This window comes from Homo sapiens, chromosome 7, assembly GCF_000001405.40.
Source record: "Homo sapiens chromosome 7, GRCh38.p14 Primary Assembly".
NCBI classification, from domain to species: Eukaryota; Metazoa; Chordata; class Mammalia; order Primates; family Hominidae; genus Homo; species Homo sapiens.
The window spans coordinates 60,978,240-60,998,517 of NC_000007.14; the positions used below are offsets into that span (position 1 = coordinate 60,978,240).

General features: G+C 38.1%; 1 pseudogene; it reads right to left on the bottom strand.

The window, feature by feature from the left end:
* Positions 1 to 13,662: 13,662 nt before the first annotated feature.
* On the bottom strand, positions 13,663 to 14,981 carry LOC101060796 (histone H1, gonadal-like; annotated as a pseudogene).
* Between the last annotated feature and the right edge of the window lie 5,297 nt (positions 14,982 to 20,278).

The window sequence follows — 20,278 nt, forward strand, 5'->3', positions numbered from 1 at the left end:
TAGTTACATAGGTATACATGTGCCATGCTGGTGCGCTGCACCCACTAACTTGTCATCTAGCATTAGGTATATCTTCCAATGCTATCCCTCCACCCACCCCCAATCCCACCACAGTCCCCAGAGTGTGATATTCCCCTTCCTGTGTCCATGTGATCTCATTGTTCAATTCCCACCTATGAGTGAGAATATGCGGTGTTTGGTTTTTTGTTCTTGTGATAGTTTACTGAGAATGATGATTTCCAATTTCATCCATGTCCCTACAAAGGATATGAACTCATCATTATTTATGGCTGCATAGTATTCCATGGTGTATATGTGCCACATTTTCTTAATCCAGTCTATCATTGTTGGACATTTGGGTCAGTTCCAAGTCTTTGCTATTGTGAATAATGCCACAATAAACATATGTGTGCATGTGTCTTTATAGCAGCATGATTTATAGTCCTTTGGGTATATACACAGTAATGGAACGGCTGGGTCAAATGGTATTTCCAGTTCTAGATCCCTGAGGAATCGCCACACTGTCTTCCACAATGGTGGAACTATTTTACAGTCCCACCAACAGTGAAAAAAACAAGCAATGGGGAAAGGATTCCCTATTTAATAAATGGTGCTGGGAAAACTGGCTAGCCATATGTAGAAAGCTGAAATTGGATCCCTTCCTTACACCTTATACAAAAATCAATTCAAGATGGATTAAAGACTTAAACATTAGACCTAAAACCATAAAAACCCTAGGAGAAAACCTTGGCATTACCATTCAGGACATAGGCATGGGCAAGGACTTCATGTCTAAAACACCAAAAGCAATGGCAACAAAAGACAAAATTGACAAATGGGATCTAATTAAACTAAAGAGCTTCTGCGCAGCAAAAGAAACTACCATCAGAGTGAATAGGCATCCTACAAAATGGGAGAAAATTTTCGCAACCTACTCATGTGACAAAGGGCTAATATCCGGAATCTACAATGAACTCAAACAAATTTACAAGAAATAAACAAACAACCCCATCAAAAAGTGGGCGAAGGACATGAACAGACATTTCTCAAAAGAAGACATTTATGCAGCCCAAAAACACATGAAAAAATCCTCATCATCACTGGCCATCAGAGAAATGCAAATCAAAACCACAATGAGATACCATCACACACCAGTTAGAATGGCAATCATTAAAAAGTCAGGAAACAACAGGTGCTGGAGAGGATATGGAGAAATAGGAACACTTTTTTTTTAAATTTTGATAGAGACTGTGTCTTGCTATGTTGCCCAGGTTGCTTGGCAACTCCTGGGCTCAAGGAATCCTTTCATTTCAGCCTCTTCAACTGCTGGTATTACAAGCATGAACCACCATATGGGCTGGAAGCTGATTTTTACAATACTGAGATCATATAGATGACAGCACCTGAAAAATAGACAACACAAAGCTTTATGTTATAAGGTGTGAGAGTATCAATATTGTTGTGGATATTGGGGAGGAAAACATTAGTAAAACCAATAAGTTAAAGCTCTTGCTTTAATTTAACTTTGGCTTTAATTTAACAAATGTTCTATGGAGTGACAATATGTATGTAACCATGCTATGCCCATTCACAGATGCAGTAGAGGGAAGAATTTCTCAAACACAACTGTTCTAAGACTCAAATTAAACCGTACTGGGTTTGAAAAGAGAAAGTCCAGGAATTACCAAATATTTTAGATATGAGATACAAGAGAATGCCAGGTATGCGATGATAATCAGCAATTGTTGTTCACACAATACATCAAATCAGTATTTGAATTAGCTTTTGAATTACAAGGACAACTGGATCAAGTCTAGACTCTTTAGTAGATAAATCTTATTAGGCAGAGATGTGTTTTCCCCTGTTTTTCCTCAAGGAGATTACAAATTTGCAAACCTCAGCTGCTCTCATTTTATGCTCTCACCAAGCCAAAAGCTGAAGTTCATCAATCAGTGTATCTAAGTGTTCACTGGTTATATACCAGTTTGTAGTGTCAGCTAACTTTCCAACTTCCTAAATCATCACCTTTATTTGATCTTGTTTTTTTCCACTATCACTTCTTTATTGACCATAAAAAGAATATAAGTAAGTTTTTATTTTGTTATTGTTCATTTTAGTCTAATTTCATCAAAAGATCACAATCTTTTAATTTCATTTTAGTTTCAAAGATTAAATGAAACCTACATCGAAATGAGTGTAAGATTTGCATTTGCATTATTTTGGCATCAATTTGCTATCCTCCGTCATGCACATAGAGATCATTTCCATGTACATGATTTCAAACATCCAAGTGCAGTATTAAAAGCAGTTGTAAATTTTGGTTCTCATTTTCATGATACAATTACAATATAAACTTCCTCTTGCTGCTGTGACCAATTACCACAAACTTCATATCTTACAATAAATTGACCATTAATCCTACAGTTCTGTAGTTCAGAAGCCTTAAGTGAAACTCACAGGGGTAACATCAAGTTTTGGGCAAGGCTGCAGTCTTTCTGATGGCTATGTGGCTGAATCTATTACTTGATTTTTTTCAGCATCCAGAGGCCACCTTTATTCCTTGAACATTGCCTCATTCTTAGATCCTATTTTTCTTTTCTTTTTTTTTTTTTGAGATGGAGTCTCCTTCTGTCACCCAGGCTGGAGTGCAGTGGCACAATCTCAGCTCACTGCAACCTCTGTCTCCCGGGTTCAAGTGATTCTTCTGCCTCAGCTTCCTGAGTAGCTTGGACTACAGGCACTTGCCACTACGTCCAGTTAATTTTTTGTATTTTTAGTAGGGATGGGGATTCACCATATTAGCCAGGATGGTCTCGATCTCCTGACCTCGTGATAAACCCTCTCCTGCCTCCCAAAGTGCTGGGATTAGGCGTGAGCCACCGCGCTGGGTCCTCATTCTTGTATCTTAAAAGTCAGTGATGTTGAGTAATTTCTCATGCCACCACCTCCAAGGTTGCCTTTCTTCTGCCTTCTTCTTTCACTTATAAGGAAGTTTGTGATTTCATTGATCCCACTCATTTAAGACAATCTCTCTATCATTTTTCTGCAACCTTAATTTCACTTGACATCTAATTTCACACTGCCGTGCAACCTAACATATTTGTATCTTAGACTCTGAGAATTAGGACATGAAATTTTTTGGGAGGCCATTCTTTGGCCTACAGCAGACAATCTATTTACCTGCAGATTAAAGCGTTCTTTATTTTTCTGTCTCCCTCTCTTAATTTTTTTAAAATAATATGAGTTGTAGTAAAGAGAAAGAAAGAAAAGAAAACAAAGAAAGAAAAAAAGGAAGGAAAGAAGGAAGGAAGGAAATAAAGAAAGAAAGAAGAAAGAAAAAAAGGAGGAAATGAGGGAAGGAAGGGAGGGAGGGAGGGAGGAAGTGAGAAAGGAGGCAGGAAGGGAGAAAAAAGAAAGCATGAACACAAGAAAGAAAGAAGGAAAGAATGAGAGAAAGAAAGAAAGGAGGAAGGGAGGAAGAAAAGGAGGAAAAGAGAATGGTAAAAGGGAGGAAGGCATAGAAAGAAAGAAAATAAAGAGACAAAGGAAGGAAGAAAAAAGAGGAAAGGAAGGGAGGGAGGAAGGAATAAAAAGAGGGCGGGAGGAAGGTAGAAAAAAGGAAAGAAAGGAAGTACGTGAGAAAGAAAGAATATGAGAAAAGAAGGAAGAAAATTGAGGGAGAAAGGAAGGGAGGGAGGAGGGAAGGAAGAATAAGAGGAAAGAAAAGAAGGAAAGAAGGAAGGAAGGAGAAAAAAAAGAAAAGAAAGAAAGGTAAAGAAAAAAGAAAAGAAAAGGAAGATGAAAAGAAGAAAGGAAGGAAGAAAGCAAGGGAAGGGAAGAGAAGAGAAAGGAAGATGGAAAGAAGGAAGGAAGAACGCAAATATTAGAAATTCTGGGTTTGATAGAGAATATGCCATACTCATTTTTTTCACTTGAAAGGAAAGAGTATCTGCCATTGAAGATTGGATGTCTTGTTGGTGATATTGTTGTTCTTATCTTCCACATGACTACTGAGTTAGTGCCTAGTCTTTCCATTACTAAGACAAAAGTGTTGATGTCAGCAAATACAATTTTGGATTTTTCTAGTTCACCTTTGATTTCTTTCCTGTTTTACCTCATGTATTTGGAGGTTCTGTTGTTAGCTGCATAACCTAATTAGTAGGATGTTTACATCTTCTTGAGATTTGATTATTCTATTATCTATTATCTCTCATCTCTGATACTATTTCTTGTTCCGAACTCTGTTGTGTCTAATATCAATGTAGTCCTTCCACAGCTTTATTTTAGTGTTTCCATGATATGGCTTTCTCCATATCTTCATGATAACCTATTTATATCTCTATATATTTGGAGCAAGATATAAAATTTAGACTTGATTTTTTAAAGATTTTTCAACATGTACTTCTTATTTCTTTTTGTTCTATTTGACATTCTCTGAGTTTCCTATATTTGAAGTTTGATTTTCTGTCACTTCTTTTAGAATATTTTTGGCAGTTATTTTGAAAAATATTTCTTTTTCTCCATTATTTTTCCCTCTTTTCTTTTTGGGATTTCAATCATAACTAGAGTAGGTAATTTCATCTCAGTCTTATGCAGGTACTTTTTCTCAGGGTCTCAGGAATGCAGCCTTCTCACACTTCTGTTCTTTTCCTGGCTGTGTTGGTGAGCTCAGTGATATTCCTCCTTCACCTTCAAGAGCAGTTTTGTTTTGTTTTTCCTGTTTTCATAATCCCAGCATCAGGAGTATCCTAAGTTTGGCAGTTTTTGTTGCCTTCCCCTACATATTAAGTGGAATATCTTGCTCTATTTGGACTCTTATAACAAAATAACATAAACCGGGTGACTAAAAAACAACAGATATTTCTTTTTTCACACTTCTTGAGGCTGTAAGATCTCAGGTCAAGATGCTCACCAATTCAGTGTTGATGAGAGCCCATTTCATGGTTCATAGATGTTGCCTTCTTTCTATGTCCTCACATAGTGGAAGGCACACAAGAACCCCATTGAGCTTCTTTTATAAAGGCACTAATCACATTCATAAGGGCTCGGCCCCCAAGACCTGGTCACCTCCCAAGTGTTCTGCTCTCCCTGATCTGTGTCATATACAGACTCTCTTGAATTCCTTACCAATTGCTTGAGAGATCGCAGTGGGTTTGTGGGAAAAACTTTTCAAGATGATGGATCTTTCCCAACTTCTGCAGCTGTCAGCTGTCTCCCAATCTCACCAGCCCCACTTTGCTTTTAGGAATTTATTGATTATTCCAGCTTTACTTGTCATAGTGGTGTCTATTTGCATCTGTCCTATATAAGTGCATCCATCCTCTTTCTCCTTGCAGTTGCATGTTTTCCCTCACATTTTTACTCAGTTCTTGGCAACCTCATTGCTATAAAAATAAAGTCATGATTTTGAAGTTCGTTTGGTTCTTTCATTGTTGTCAGGTTAGGAACCCTATTCCATCCCAGATCTCCAAAACCCAGACTTTTGGGGGTTGAAATTTTAGGCTTTCTCTTTGAATTGTAGTTTTATCTTCTTTCAGTTACCATTTGCATTTTCATAATGATTAATGAGACTAAGCTTTGTTTGTGTAGTTGACTGTACCTTTGGATTTTTATCCCAAATACCTTTTTATTTCTTCTTTTCTTTATGGTTTTAGAATATGTAGTTTACATAATTGCAGCTTGAATTTTTAATCAGTTAATGGCATGCTTAATGGAGAGAAAAATATTAAATATATTTCCCTTTTAAATTACTGTGCTTTTTTCTTTTCTAAGGAAATGTTTCATTATGTTAAATTTCAGTGTTATTCTACTTAGCTATTCCTCAAATATTATAGTATTTTGGATTTCACATGTAAATTTGTAACATATCTTGAGTTTATTATGTATAGAGTAAGGCTATTTTCCCTTTTTTGTTTTTTAAGGTAAAAATCACATAATATAAAATTAATAACAACCATTTTAAAGCATACAATGCACTTGCTTTTAGTATATTCACAATGTTCCAGGGCAATTTCATCATGTCCCTTCCAAAAACCCATTATGCATAAAGTTGTTACACCCTATTCTGCTTCCCTGAGCCCTAATGACCACTAATCTGATTTATATCCCAATTGATTTGCAAATTCCTGATGTTTCATGTGAATAAAATCAAGTAATACTTGCCCTTTTGTGCACTTAACATAATGCTTTCAAATTTCACCAATATTATACCATATATAAGTACTTCATTCTTTGTCATAGCTGAAAATTCAGTGTCCATTTATGAGTCAACAAGCTTATGTATTGTTTCCACTTTTTGACTGAATGAATATTACTGCTGTCAATATTCATGCACATGTTTATTTTTTGAGCACCTATGTTTTGTAAGATTAAGAGCTGACTTAAGAAAAACAATGGAAGGCAAGAGGCAGTAGAATAATATATTCAAAAGATGCAAAGGAAAAAAAACTCTCAGCCACGAATTCCTTATCCAGCAATTATTTTTCAAAAATGAAGATAACACAAAGACTTACCCAGATAAACAGAAATATTAACTGAAGTCATTGCTGGCAGACCTACCATATAAAGAAAAACTCTAAAATAAATTCCTAAGGCTAAAAGCAAGTTACAGAAGACAGTCACTTGAATCCACACTTTTAAAAAAGCACTGGTATAGGTAATATTGACATTATAAAGGACAGTAAAAATGCATTTTTTCTCTTTATCATAAATTGTTTATTAAATAACATGTGTATAATGGCCGGGCACGATGGCTCACACCTGTAATCTCAGCACTTTGGGAGGCCAAGGTGGGCGTATTACGAGGCCAGGAGATCGAGACCATCCTGGCTAACACAGTGAAACCCCGTTTGTACTAAAAATACAAAAAATGAGCCGGGCGTGATGGCGGGCGCCTGTAGTCCCAGCTACTCGGGAGGCTGAAGCAGAAAACTGGCATGAAGCCGGGAGATAGAGCTTGCAATGAGCGGAGATTGTGCCACTGCACTCCAGCCTGGGTGACAGAGGGAGACTCCATCTCAATGATAATAATAACATGTGCATAATGTATTGCTGAGTATTTGACATGTAGAAATGGAATACGTCTATAACATATTCTCCAGTAACATCAAAAAGGAGGTAGTTGGAAGAAAAATGTATTGTGATAAGATAATAACTCTAGATGGTAAAGTAATAATTACTTAAATGTATTGTTGGCTTTGTAACTTTAATAGATGTAATGTGTAAAGTGATAATACCTTGAAATGGAGGAAACAAAAGAGATTTATATAAGAATGATGTTTCTATGTATTACTAAAAGTTTGCTAGTATAAATTGGAAGATGATTTGAATAATTAATTTTCCATATACCTATATGGTAAACTTACAACAACAAAAATTCTCAAAAATATATAATAAAATAATTCATTAGTAATCTAAAGTTCCCTGTTATAGAAAATATTCTTTCATTGCAAAATAAAGCAATAAAGAAAAATATTTGAGAAGTATATACAACAAATGGTAAAATGGCAGACATAAATAGAATTATACCAATTATAATCTTAAATGTGAGCAGATTAAAATCCATTCTTGAGGCAGAGATTGTCAGACTGGATTAAAACAAGTGATCCCAATATACGCTGAGATGAAAGGATACTAATTGATTGAAAGTAAAAAGATGACAAAAAAATATCATGCAAAGAGCAATCATAAGAACACTGAACTCATTATACTCATAACACACAATATATACTATTAAAAATGTGAATAGGATTTTAAAAATTTATATTGTAGTAAAAAGGGGGTCAACGCTTTAGGAAGACATAGCTATTACAATCATGTATGCACAGATAGGAGCTAAATTGTTTCCTCTATATAGATGCTGAAATTCTAACCACTGAATATGACCTCATTAGGAAATAGGTTCTTTGCAGCTGATCAAGTTAAGATATAATCAGATGAGCCTGAATTCAATATGACTGATGTCCTTGTTAAAAGAAGAAATTTGAGTAGAGGGAGACATACACACAGGGAGAGTACCATGTGATTATGAGGGCAGAGATTAGCCAAGGAATGCCAAAGACTGCCACTAAACCACCAGAAACAAGAAACAAGGCACAGAGCAGGCTTTCTCTCATAGCCCTTGAAGGGACCATCCCTGCTGACACCTCAATCTCAGACTTTAAGCTTCCAGGACTATAAGACTATAAGACTATAAATGTATGTTGTTCAAGGCACCCAGTTTGTGTTACTTGGTTATGGCAGCCCTAGAAAACTAATACATGAACTAATAACAAAGCATAATAACATGAAGCAAAAATTGACAAAAGAGGAGCATCAGCAAAATGGCAGTGGAGACAGCTGCAATCTTTCATTTCCCCACAGAAACATCACACAACTAAGAGAAACTGTCCGAATAAACTTTGCCAAAACTCTGGAAAATGGTCAAAAGATTACAACAACCAAGTGAAAGAAGACCCAAGAAAAAGACAACTGGAAAACTTTACGACATTTTTAACTTGCCTTTGCCCCAGCAAATTGGCAGTTTTGAAGTGTCAGAAGCCCACGTTCCCAGTGAGGAAGCCTGGTCTATGGTCCAAAGGAACAAGAGAAGATCTTACCCGCACATTATTATGTGTCTGTTCTGACTGGTCTGGGGGATACCTAAAGGACTCATGAAAGGCTTTTTTTTTCTGTGTTGCTAGAATACAGAACAGATAAGGAATGGACATTATTAAGGAACTCTGCAAGGAGACCTAACAAACCACAGATGCTTAGGGCAAAAATTAAAATTTACACATATAGTAGATCACCTTCAGCACAGCAAGCAAAGTTGGAGAAGAGTATTTCAAAAACTAAGACATACAAAATCATTCACGTACATGGGAGAGTCTAGAAAGTTACATGCATTCATAGGTTAAGCCACATGCTGACAAATGTCATAAGAAGACCCTACACTTTTACCTTGGCCGATCCCTCCCCTCAGTGCAAGCTCTGTGCAAGAGTGAACTTGAACTTCACTCAGTGCAAGAGTGAACACACACTTTGTGCCGGCATTAAAGAACCCAGCACAAAGCCAGTCTCCATGGCCTAGAGACATATTTTGCTGAACAATTATTACTTGTTTTTCTTTTTGTTTTTCTTGTATTTGCCTGTTTGATTGGTTCCTGACATACAAGAAAATCACTGTCAAAACATTAGCTTAACATTTGTTAAAGAAACAAAAAGACTTCGGTGACCACACCTTATAAAGCAAACAGTTTTGTAAATCACTTTGGAAAATTTCACTAAAAAAAAATCCTTTACAATATAATAAGTAAAGAAAATTTAAAACCACAAAACATTACTTTGTTTGTAGGGGGTGGTCTGATTTACAGAGTAACCACATAGTAATTATAATTATTAGAATGTCCAGTTTTCAAAAAACGTTACAAGGCATACAAAGAATGGGAAAGTGTGGCTCATTCAAAGGAACAAAATAAATTGACAGAAAATATCCCTAAGGAAACCCAGACATCAAACTTACCAGACAAAGACTTTAAAACAACTCTCTTCATTATACTCAAATGTCAAAAGGAAAACATAAACAAAGAAATAAAGGAATCAGAAAAAATGTTAAAAAGTAGGAATATCAGCAAAGAGATAACAGAAATTCTGGAGTGGAAAACTACAATGATAAAAATTTAAAAATCACCAGAGGGATTTAAGAGTATATTTGCACACACAGAAGAAACCATGAACTTGAAGAGAAGAAAATGGAAAATACTGACTCTGAGAAACAGAAAGAATAAAAAATAAACAATGAGCAGAGACTAATGAATCTGTGGGACATCATCAAATAGACCAACATTCATATTCTAGAAGGATAAATTATGTTGTTAAAAACTTTACCATTCTTTCTTTTCACCTTTCTTTCTTCCTCCCTCCCCCCTCCTCCTTTTTTCTTTTCTTCCTCTTCCTTTCTCTTCTTCTTTCTCTCCTTCATTATCCCTTCCGCTGTTTCTCTTTCTCCCTTTCTCTTTTTTTCTTTCAATTTTCTCAATTACTAAGAGGTGTTTAAGTACTCTTACCATGTTAGTAGATACGGTTATTTCTCCCTTTAGTTCTCTTTTGAGATTTATAGTCACTCTAAGTAAAGAGATAACCCAAACATAAGCGTCACAAACAGGCTTTCATACCATTCTTAATTTGGTCCTGTAATTCTTCATTGCTGTATTAACTTTCTGATGCTTTTAAGGATGTTTTATAACAAATTGTGTAGTTTTTTCCCATGGAATGTTTATTCTGAATTATCTGATTCATATTGTAAGTATAGAGGGAGTTTAATATAAAATTATTAAACTAATATTTGTGAAAGAATGTATTTGTGTATTTAACAAATATGTTAATCCTCAGAATGTTATTGGGCAGCTGACCATACAGGAATAAAAATAACACAATTTTTATGTGTACAATATTTATGGAATACGTTACTGGACCAAATAAATAATTTAGTTAATAACATGACAAAGAACAGAAATTGTATACACTATAGAGCATAGTAATGGAATAATGAATGATTAAAGTTATTAATATTAGGTAGAAAATGAAGGGTATCTTTGAGAGCAGAACTCAAGGAAGCAAGCAATTCATCTTATGAGGAAAGAGTTACCTGTGGATAAAGGAGAAAATGAAAAATTTACAAGTCAAGACTTTTTGAGCAAAAACAAAAATATGACTATTAGTCACCAATTCAGTACAGTGAAAAAAAGTTGAAGAGATATCTTGGAAGTAAACCATGTTGTGGAAGAGCATGTAGGGTTTTGATAATCATGATGATTCTGAATTAATTTTAAATGCGATAGGAATATATGAGATAATTTCACCAGAGAATAACATGATTGTGTTTGCATTTCAAAGGGGTGTATCTGGTTCACTGTGTAGAATAAATAGGTTATGTGAGCAAATAAATTGGGAGGCTACTCTAATCCAGAGAAAAAAGGTAGTGACTTAGGTGAGAATGCTGTCAGGATGAATGGTAGTAGTGGTGAGAAGTCGTTAGGCCATGGATGTATTTCATAGGAATGGCCAAGAGAACTGCAGCTAAATTGGAGTGTAGGGAGTGAAATGGAGAACTCAAAGATGACTCTCAGCACTGGAAGGTGACAGCTGTCACTGAAGCATGCTGATGTCTCTTATTAAGAGAGATACTTGGGAATGGCAAGATCAAAACTTCTCACTTTCAAATTTATGAAAAATATTGTTTTCAGAACGAATGACTTTGGGATCAGAAAGCCACCATTCTAATTGATGGTTCCACGACTACACGGACTCACACTCCCAAGAGCAAAAGTAAATCATCACAAAGGTGCTTCTTGATACTTCTAGAGAATGGAGAATTACTGTAACATCTTTCTGATTTTAGGAGAGGTAGCAGTTCCCTTTTTAGTCTAAACACTTTTTTTTAAAGCTCAGCCAAGAGACTCCATTATAATTTTCAAATGTGTGTAACTTAAATTCTCATATGAAATACCACTATGCTTAAATTAGTCAAAATACTTTCCCCATCTACAACTCTATCTTGTCATTGCAGTCATTTTCACAAAAGTGACTGCAGCTCACTGACCCTAAAAGGAGAAAATCCAGGGTAGGTTATCTGATCTAGTTAGTTTCAAAGACAGGATCTAGAGATTATTTAATATGAAATAGGTCACCTGAAATGAAGTGTTTACTGAAAACAGCTTGGGTCAGCCCACTTTTCTACCACTGAACCATTCATTTGGTTTAAAAAACACAACAACTCTGGGAAATATCGGCTGCTTCCAACTGTGTTGAAGGTGTTAAAGAAAAGAGCATAAAATTAAAAATGATCATCTGAGGCCTTTATAGTCTCTGCTCAAGAGACTAGAGTCTTCCATTCTTAACGAAACACCCAAATATCTTAATAATTGGGCAAAATCTAAATATCAGAGATAATTTTATCTTGAAGATTGCTGAATTATAATGGTGATTCACTACCTTGCCACATCTCTGAGTCAAAAATTAGGTCTTTGTTTAGGAATCAATGGTGCTCTGCAACTTGGAAATAGGAAGATTTTAGAAGACTCAGACATTGACTTTCTTGTGTGCAAAAAAAAGACATATTGAGGTAAGACAAGTCTTTCCTTGCAAGGATACCTGTAATGCTCATACACCACCTCCCTTAACATTAATATAGCTTCCAGGTCACTAACCAGTGTCAGAGAGCAGCCCATGCAACTAGAAATTCAAAAGATGTAGAACATAGGGTCAAGCCTAGAATAATAAGTCTTAGCTAATTAAGTATGCTTTTTTCCCGAAATTCATATTAACAAAATCTTGGATATGTCAGAGAACGCATTCTAAGTTCACTCAACCTAGGAGGGAGAAACATAATTTTAAATTAAGAGCTGAAGCATTCTTGTCCTAACAGAAAGCAAGGAAAACGAAATATCACACCACAGGAGGGATTTCACAAACTAGTGTCAACATGAATACCTTAAAATAGGCAAGGAGAATGCAGATTCACAATGAATTCTTGTACTTGTTTTGTTGAGAGAAGAGATGGTTCTGAGAGAATGATAGTGAACTAACCCCAGCTGGTTTAGTTGGTGCTTTCAACTGCTGCTTCTGATCAACTCCTTTAGCTAGAATAAATTTATGAGGATTTTGGCATGTGGTATTAGAGATGGTTATTAATTTTTTCCTCTTATTTGCATTGTTCAATGTAGTAAATATTAGCTGTATATGGCTACTTCAATTCAAATTAATTACAATGAAATATACTTAAATATTGAATTTTTTAGTCACTCTTGGTTCATTATTGAATATCTTCAGCTAAGATTTCCCAACTAAAGACACTAAGAGGTGGCTTAGTTAACTGGTCGTCCAAAAATATTGAAGCTGTTGTTAACTCCTGATATATTCTCTGCAAAGAGAATATTCATGAGCCTCCTCCTGAAATCAGCAGCCTAGAGATAATTTTATAAATTGGATACAATTTGGAGATCTATATACTCTTTAAGTGTTTGAAATATTAGCTTCCCAGGGAAGAAAATCAAATTCATAAGATATGTAAGGACAATTTAACTCAAGATGTTTAAAACTGAAATGACATATTCTACAACATGTGATAAAAACCACCCCCTAACAACTTAAAGCAAAACAGCGATTGACCTTAAAGACCTGCCTTTTCCTCATCCCCCAGCCAATCAGTTTTCAAATCTTGCATTTTATTTCGAAAGGTCTTTATCCCCCTGGTCTCTTGTTTCTAGACTTGGCACATATTTAAGTTTGTTACCTCTCTCTACTGACTTTTCTCTCTTCAAACAGTATCTATGCCTGCCAAATGTGAACATACAAAAAACAAATCAGAATGTGCCATTCTGATTTAAACTGCTTATTAGTTAATACCCTCAAGATAACATCTGGGTTCTTAGCTGCAATGAGTCAAGCCTACTTACAACTTTTTTTGTCTTTGACTGCACAATTCCTATCACATCACACTCCAGAAATGCCAAGCTGTGCCTGCCTTCTACCCCATCTCCACTATTTTGCCCTCCGCCGCCGCGGCGTTTTGGCCCCCATCACCGCGGTTTTTGCCCCCCCACACCCGTGCCGCGGTTATTTGCCCGCCGCAGCTTTTTGCCCCCCCGCCGACGCGGCTTTTTGCCCCCGCCTGTGCCGCGGTTATTTGCCGGCCGCGGCTTTTTCCCCGCCCTGGCTTTTTGCCCCCCGCCGCCGCGGCTTTTTCCCCACCGCGGTTTTTTGCCCCCCCGCCGCATCGGGTTTATGCCTGCAGCGGCTTTTTGCCCCCCGCCGCTGCGGATTTTTGCCCGCCAAGGCTTTTTGCCCCCCGCCGTGGCGGCTTTTTGCCTGACCCGGCTTTTTGCTCCCCCGCCGCTGCAGCTTTTTGCACCGCCGCCGCCGCGGCTTTTTGCCCCCCGCCGCCGCGTCTTTTTGTCCCCCCGCCGCTGCGGCTTTTTGCCGGCCGCGGCTTTTTGCACCCCCGCCGCCTCGGCTTTTTGCCCCCCGAGGTCGCTGCTTTTTGCCGTCCGCCGCTGCGGCTTTTTGCCCTCCGCTGCCGCGGTTTTTTGCGTCTTTGTGCCCCCGCCGCCATGCCTTTTTGCCCCCGCTGCGGCTTTTTGCCGCTGCGAATTTTTGTCTCTGTCGTCGCCGCTTTTTGCCCCCGCCGCAGTGGCTTTTTGTCCCCGCCGCCGGGGCTTTTTGCCGCCGCGACTTTATGCCCCCGCCGCCGCCGCTTTTTGCCACCGGGGCTTTTTGCCCCCGCCGCCGAGGATTTTTGTCCCCGCCGCAGAGGCTCTGAGGGCCGGAGCAGCAGACTCTGCTGCCAGATCTACTGGCATCCTGGCAAGGGCAGCGCCGAGGGGCGCTCCTGGTCCAGCTCTCCTGGCTCAGGGGTTTCTTGCCTAGGCGCCGGCGCCCCAGGCTCCCTGCCTAGGCCCTTGTGGCCTGCATAGAGCGGCACTGCGCGCGGAGGCAATGGGAGAGAAGGAGGGCGGTGGCGGCGGTGCTGCTGCGGCCGCGGAGGGTGGCGCAGGGGCTGTGGCCAGCCGGGCGCTGCAACAGTGCGGGCAGCTCCAGAAGCTCATCGTCATCTTCATTGGCAGCCTGTGCGGGCTGTGCACCAAGTGCGCTGTGTCCAACGACCTCACCCAGCAGGAGATACAGACCCTGGAGGTAAGGGGTTCGGGGACCCGGGCTGGGATCCAGGAGCGGCCCGGACACCTCCTTCGGGGCCGCAGTTGACTCCTGGCCGAGTTGCATCCTTGAGCCCATGTCACCCCCTTGGAGGCTTCCCCTCCCTCCTGCGCTCGCTGATGTGCCAGCCGGAGGACCCAGGAACAGCCCTCACCTTGGGTAGGATTTGTGGAGCTGGTGCGTGGTGGGAACTGAGATGGAGGCTCCAGGGTCCCGTGGGGGTGGGGGTGGGCTGCGCGCGGACATCCCCTTACCCTCTGAATTTCCATCTGGTCCAGCCCTCTCATCTTGTAGGTGAGGAAACCGAAGGCCTGAAGGAGAACTGACTTGCCAGGAACCCCTGTTAAGGAGAATTAACAAAGTGTGGTTATTAAAGAAGAACTGAGTTGGGAGTCAGACCTGGAGGCCCGCACCCTTGGTTAAGACATTACACCACCTTGAGTCTGGCCTGTTGACTGAGGGTGAGCCACTCCATCCTCGTCTGATTGTGGGGTCTTGACCTCAAGGGGTTTCCTGCAGGAAGAAGCAAATGGGTTTGCTTTCCTAGCTCTGTCCAGTACCTTAGGGACCCTGAGGACTGAAGAGATTCTTGGACAGCCATCTGGTGTATGTCATGGGTGGGCCTTTTTTGAAGGTCAGTCTGACCAGTGGGCTGGCTCAGCCGAAATGAACTGTCTTGAATCTTTGGAGTTGTCTGTGTACTTTTAAGGGCTTCTCAGGCTTGCACCAAAAGATCCCCCATGGAAATTAGGTGGGAAAACCTTAACTTTTGTGGGGCCTTGTGTTTGTCTTAAAAGTTCATGCACATGGCCAGGTGTGGTGGCTCCCACCTGTTATCCTGTCCTGGATCCCTTGAGTCAAGGAGTTTGAGACCAACCTGGACAATATAGTGAGACCCCCATCTCTACAAAAAATAAAATGTTAGCCAGGGGTGGTTGTGCGCATCTGTAGTCCCAGCTACTACTGTGGCTGAGGCGGGAGGAGCACTTGATCCTCCACTGAGCTGTGATCTCACCAGTGTACTCCAGCCTGGGCCACAGAGCAAGACCGTGACTCAAAAAAAAAAAAAAAAAGACAGAAAAAATTCTTGAAGATTTTGCATTCTGTCCCACTATCCATTGGTTTTCATGTCAAGATAATGTCAGAAATTCTTTACAATTGCTTCCAGAAGGAGTAGCCTTTTGATGTACTGCACAGGTGTCCAGTCTTTTGGCTTCTCAGGGCCACATTAGAAGAAGAATGCTCCTGGGCCGCACATAAAATACACTAATGCTAAAAACTGCTGATGAGCTTAAAAAAAAAAAGTTTGTGCATAATTTTCATGATACCCACCACCACAGATAGGCGGAAAAGTCCTTGTAGTCAAAGGGTTGGACACAGCTGATCTAGTGTCTTGTCGTCTGTTTTGGCTTTCTCCCTGATTCCAGAATGCAGGTAGAGATGTAGAGACAGGCTCTCAGGACAGCTGTTGAGATAAAAAATTCGTTGTCATTTATTCCCAAGCACAGCTGTTTCTCATTGCATTGAAAAAGTCTCCATTCAAACTCCTGTCACGTATGAAATCTATTTATGTAAGTGTGTATTTTTCTGTTGTCTTGGCCTTTGTAGGCAGTAGTGTGTTTTAACCGAGCAAACTGTCCTTCCGAATAATGAAGCCGAAGTCAGCCTACCTGCTTGCCATTTTTCTTCCCCTTCCATTTTTGTAACCTCAGAATAATTGTAAGAATGAATTAAGATTTGTGTTTAAGGCCAGGCACGGTGTCTCAGGCCTGTAATCTCAGCAATTTGGGAGGCGGAGACGGATGTATCGCTTGAGCTCAGGAGTTGAAGACCAGCCTGGGCAACATACTGAGACTCCGTCTTGTATAATTTAATTAAAATTTAAAAAAAGAAGAGAAAAAGACCTGTGTTTAAAATTTTAAAAAGGGGGGAGAAAGTGTAATGCAAAATGTGGACTATGCCAGCTATGATTGGAAAAACCGGTTTTTCATGCAGCATTATCTGTAGACTTGTATTAGCAGCGTACTCGTCATAAGCGTTTTGCTTTCCTCAAATATGATGAGGTAAGCTAATTTAAAGTTTGTTGGGGCTTTCTGCCGCGTGGCTCCTGGAGGTGTTGGGTCTCAATTTAGCCAATTAATTTGGGTTTAGTTTTGACATGGATAAGGGAGACCAGCTTCATTCATGGTGTACACACTGTTTTGCCAATAAGGAAAAAAAAAAGCCACCTGAATGTTCCTACTCATTAGATGCTATCTGGAAAGCTCCTACCCCACCCCCACCAAGGCCCAGGCCATTAAAAAGACTCAATGCAGGCTTTCTGTATCTCATACTGTATTCTGCAAGATACTCCTGTGAAAGAAAGTTGTGCTGCATCAGCCATCTACCTCCTGAAGATCCCTGCGGATAAGGATTTGTGTTTTGAAAGTTCTGAGAATTCCTGCAACAACAATTCTCAAACTTATTTGTCCATGGGATCTTTTCTTCCACTGAATGTAGTTGGGGAGACACGGCCTTAAGCCTTGAGCAGAGAAAGAGACAAGAAACTGTTGGCTCACTTACAACCAAGTGTTGTGTTTATGTTTTAGGTTTTTATGAAACTGAGGTGCTGTTTGAGGTTCTAAATGAAATTGGGTGGTTGAAGAGAGGCTGGTATCCCTGTAGACTTAGCCAGCCATGAGAAGTTGCCTTTTGTTGAAGGAGGTGTTTTACAAAGGGAAATAGGGTGTCTCCTGGGCATCGCATTAGAACTTAAAAACATGTAACACTGAAATGAAATGAAATGATGAAATGATGAAATGAAACGAAATGATGAAATGAAGAAATGAAATAATGAGATGAAATGATGAAAGGATGAAATGAAATGAAATGATGAAATGGAATGATATGAAATAATGAAATGAAATAAGTGAAATGATGAAATGAAATGATGAAATGATGAAATGAAATGAAATGATGAAATGATGAATTGAGGAAATGATATGAAATGATGAAATGAAATGATGAAATGAAGTGAATGATGAAATGATGAAAAAATGAAATTAAATGATGAATTGATGAAATGATGAGATGAAAAGTTGAAAAGAAACGAAATGATTAAATGAAATGAAGAGATGAAAAGATGAAATGAAATGATGAGATGAAATGAAATGAGATGAAATGATGAGATGAAATAATGCAATGAAAGATGAAATGAAGAGATGAAGTGAAATGATGAAATGATGAAATGTAATGAAATGATGAAATGGAATGATGAAATGAAATGATGAAATGGTGAAATGAAATGAGGAAATGAAATGAAATGAAATGATAAGTGAAATGATGAAATGAAATGATGAAAAGATGACATGAAATGAAAAGATCAAATGGTGAAATGAAGAAATGATATGAAATGATGAAATGAAATGATGAAATGAAGTGAAATGATTAAATGATGAAATAATGAAATGAGATGAAATGATGAATTGATGAAATGAAATGATCAAATGAAATGACGAGATGAAAAGATGAAATGAAATGATGAAATTAAATGACGGATGAAATGAAATGAGATGAAATGATGAGATGAAATGAAATCATGAGATGAAGAAATGATGAGATGAAGTGAAATGATGAAATGATGAAATGACGAAATGCAACAATGAGAAGAAATTATGAAATGAAATAATGACATGAAAGGATGAAATGAGATGAAATGAGGAAATGAAATGATGAAGTGAAATGATGATGGAATGAAAAGAAGAAATGATGAAATGATATGAAATAATGAAATGATGACATGAAGTCAAATGATGAAATGATGAAATAAATGAAATGAAATGATGAAATGAAATGAGATGAAATGATGAAATGATGAGATGAAAAGATGAAATGAAATGAGATGAAATGAAATCATGAGATGAAATGATGAAATGAGATGAAGTGAAATGATGAAATGTTGAGATGAAGTGATGAAATGAAATGATGAAATGAAATGAAACAATGAAATGAAGTGAAATGAAATGAGATGAAATGATGAGACGAAATGATGAATTGATGAAATGAAATGAGATGAAAACATGAAATGAAATGATGAAATGATGAGATGAAAACATGAAATGATGAGATGAAATGAAATGACGAGATGAAATGAAATGATGAGATGAAATGATGAAATGATGAGATGAAGTGAAATGATGAAATGAAATGTTGAGATGAAATGATGAAATGAAATGAAAGAATGAAATGAAATGATAAAATGATGAGATGAAATGATGAAATGAGGAAATTTGATGAAATGATGAAATGATGAAATGAAAGGATGAAATGAAATGATGAAATAGATGAACCAAAAATACTTATTCATTTTTTTTTTTTGGCATCCTTCTAAGAGTATTTTAGTGAGGTTAATTTCTAAAAATAAACTGCGATTCAATGGTTATACAGTTGACCTTTGCACCACAGGGGTTTGAACTGTGCACGTCCACTTAGCAAAACCAAGAATTCTACATCCTTATCCACACCCTGCCCATGAAAAGGATGAGGATGAAGACCTGTTTGATCATCTACTTCCATTTAATAACTAGTAAATATATTTTCCTTATGATTTTCTTTTTTCTTTTCTCTGGCTTGTTTGTTAAGAATACAGTATATAAGACATATAACATTAAATATGTGTTAGTTGACTGTGTTATTTGTAAGGCTTACAGTAGGCTATTAGTAGTTAAGTTTTGGGGGAGTCAAAGTTATAGTGGATTTTCTACTGTGCAGGGGGGCCAGCACCCCAACCTCCGTGTTGCTTAAGGGTCAACTGTACATGTTATTTCCTTTCCTGTAAGAGAAAAATGATGAGAAGGTCTTTTCTCCAATAAGTGTCTTCAAAATGTAGCAGATGTGAAATGTGTTGGCGCCACCATTTTGCGTCTCACTTTGAAAACTTATTATTTAAAATCGTACTAAAGCCTACCTTACTTTTCCAACCTTAGAAAAAATGTTCCAAAGAAAAGGGGTGAAACCATGCTAGTTTGCCCTGAAATTTGAAATTATCTTTTAAAAATATATTTTGACATTAATTACTTCCAAAATAGAGATCAGTTGCATACAAATGGCAGGTCACCCTAATCCACCCTATGACTGCACTTAGATTCATGAGGAATTGTGCCATCTAGAAGGGGCGGAGAGGAGGAATAGAGTGCTCTGCATCTTGAAATATAAACATGCACATAGCCACATGCTTTGATTCTGTTGTCACTGTATACTTACTGCTAGGAAGAGGGCATGTTTGTGTATTTTTATGCTAATTATTATCCAAGTTGTTAATGATTTACGCTTTCAGAACCATATAAAGATTTTTTCCTTTCAGATATAAACTATCTTGCATTGTTCTTCTGATCATATGAGGGATAAATTTGCCTAAATATTCTTCAGACCATAATAGTATGTCCATATAAATGCCAGTAGCAAGAGTAGAATCAACCACAACTGCCTATGTAATTATTTAAAGCATGTCTGCCTATAAGTAATTGGCATTTTATATAATCAAGTATCTTTGATATAATAATCTCTACTATTTGAAACATGGCTCACATGTATTAATTTTCTATGC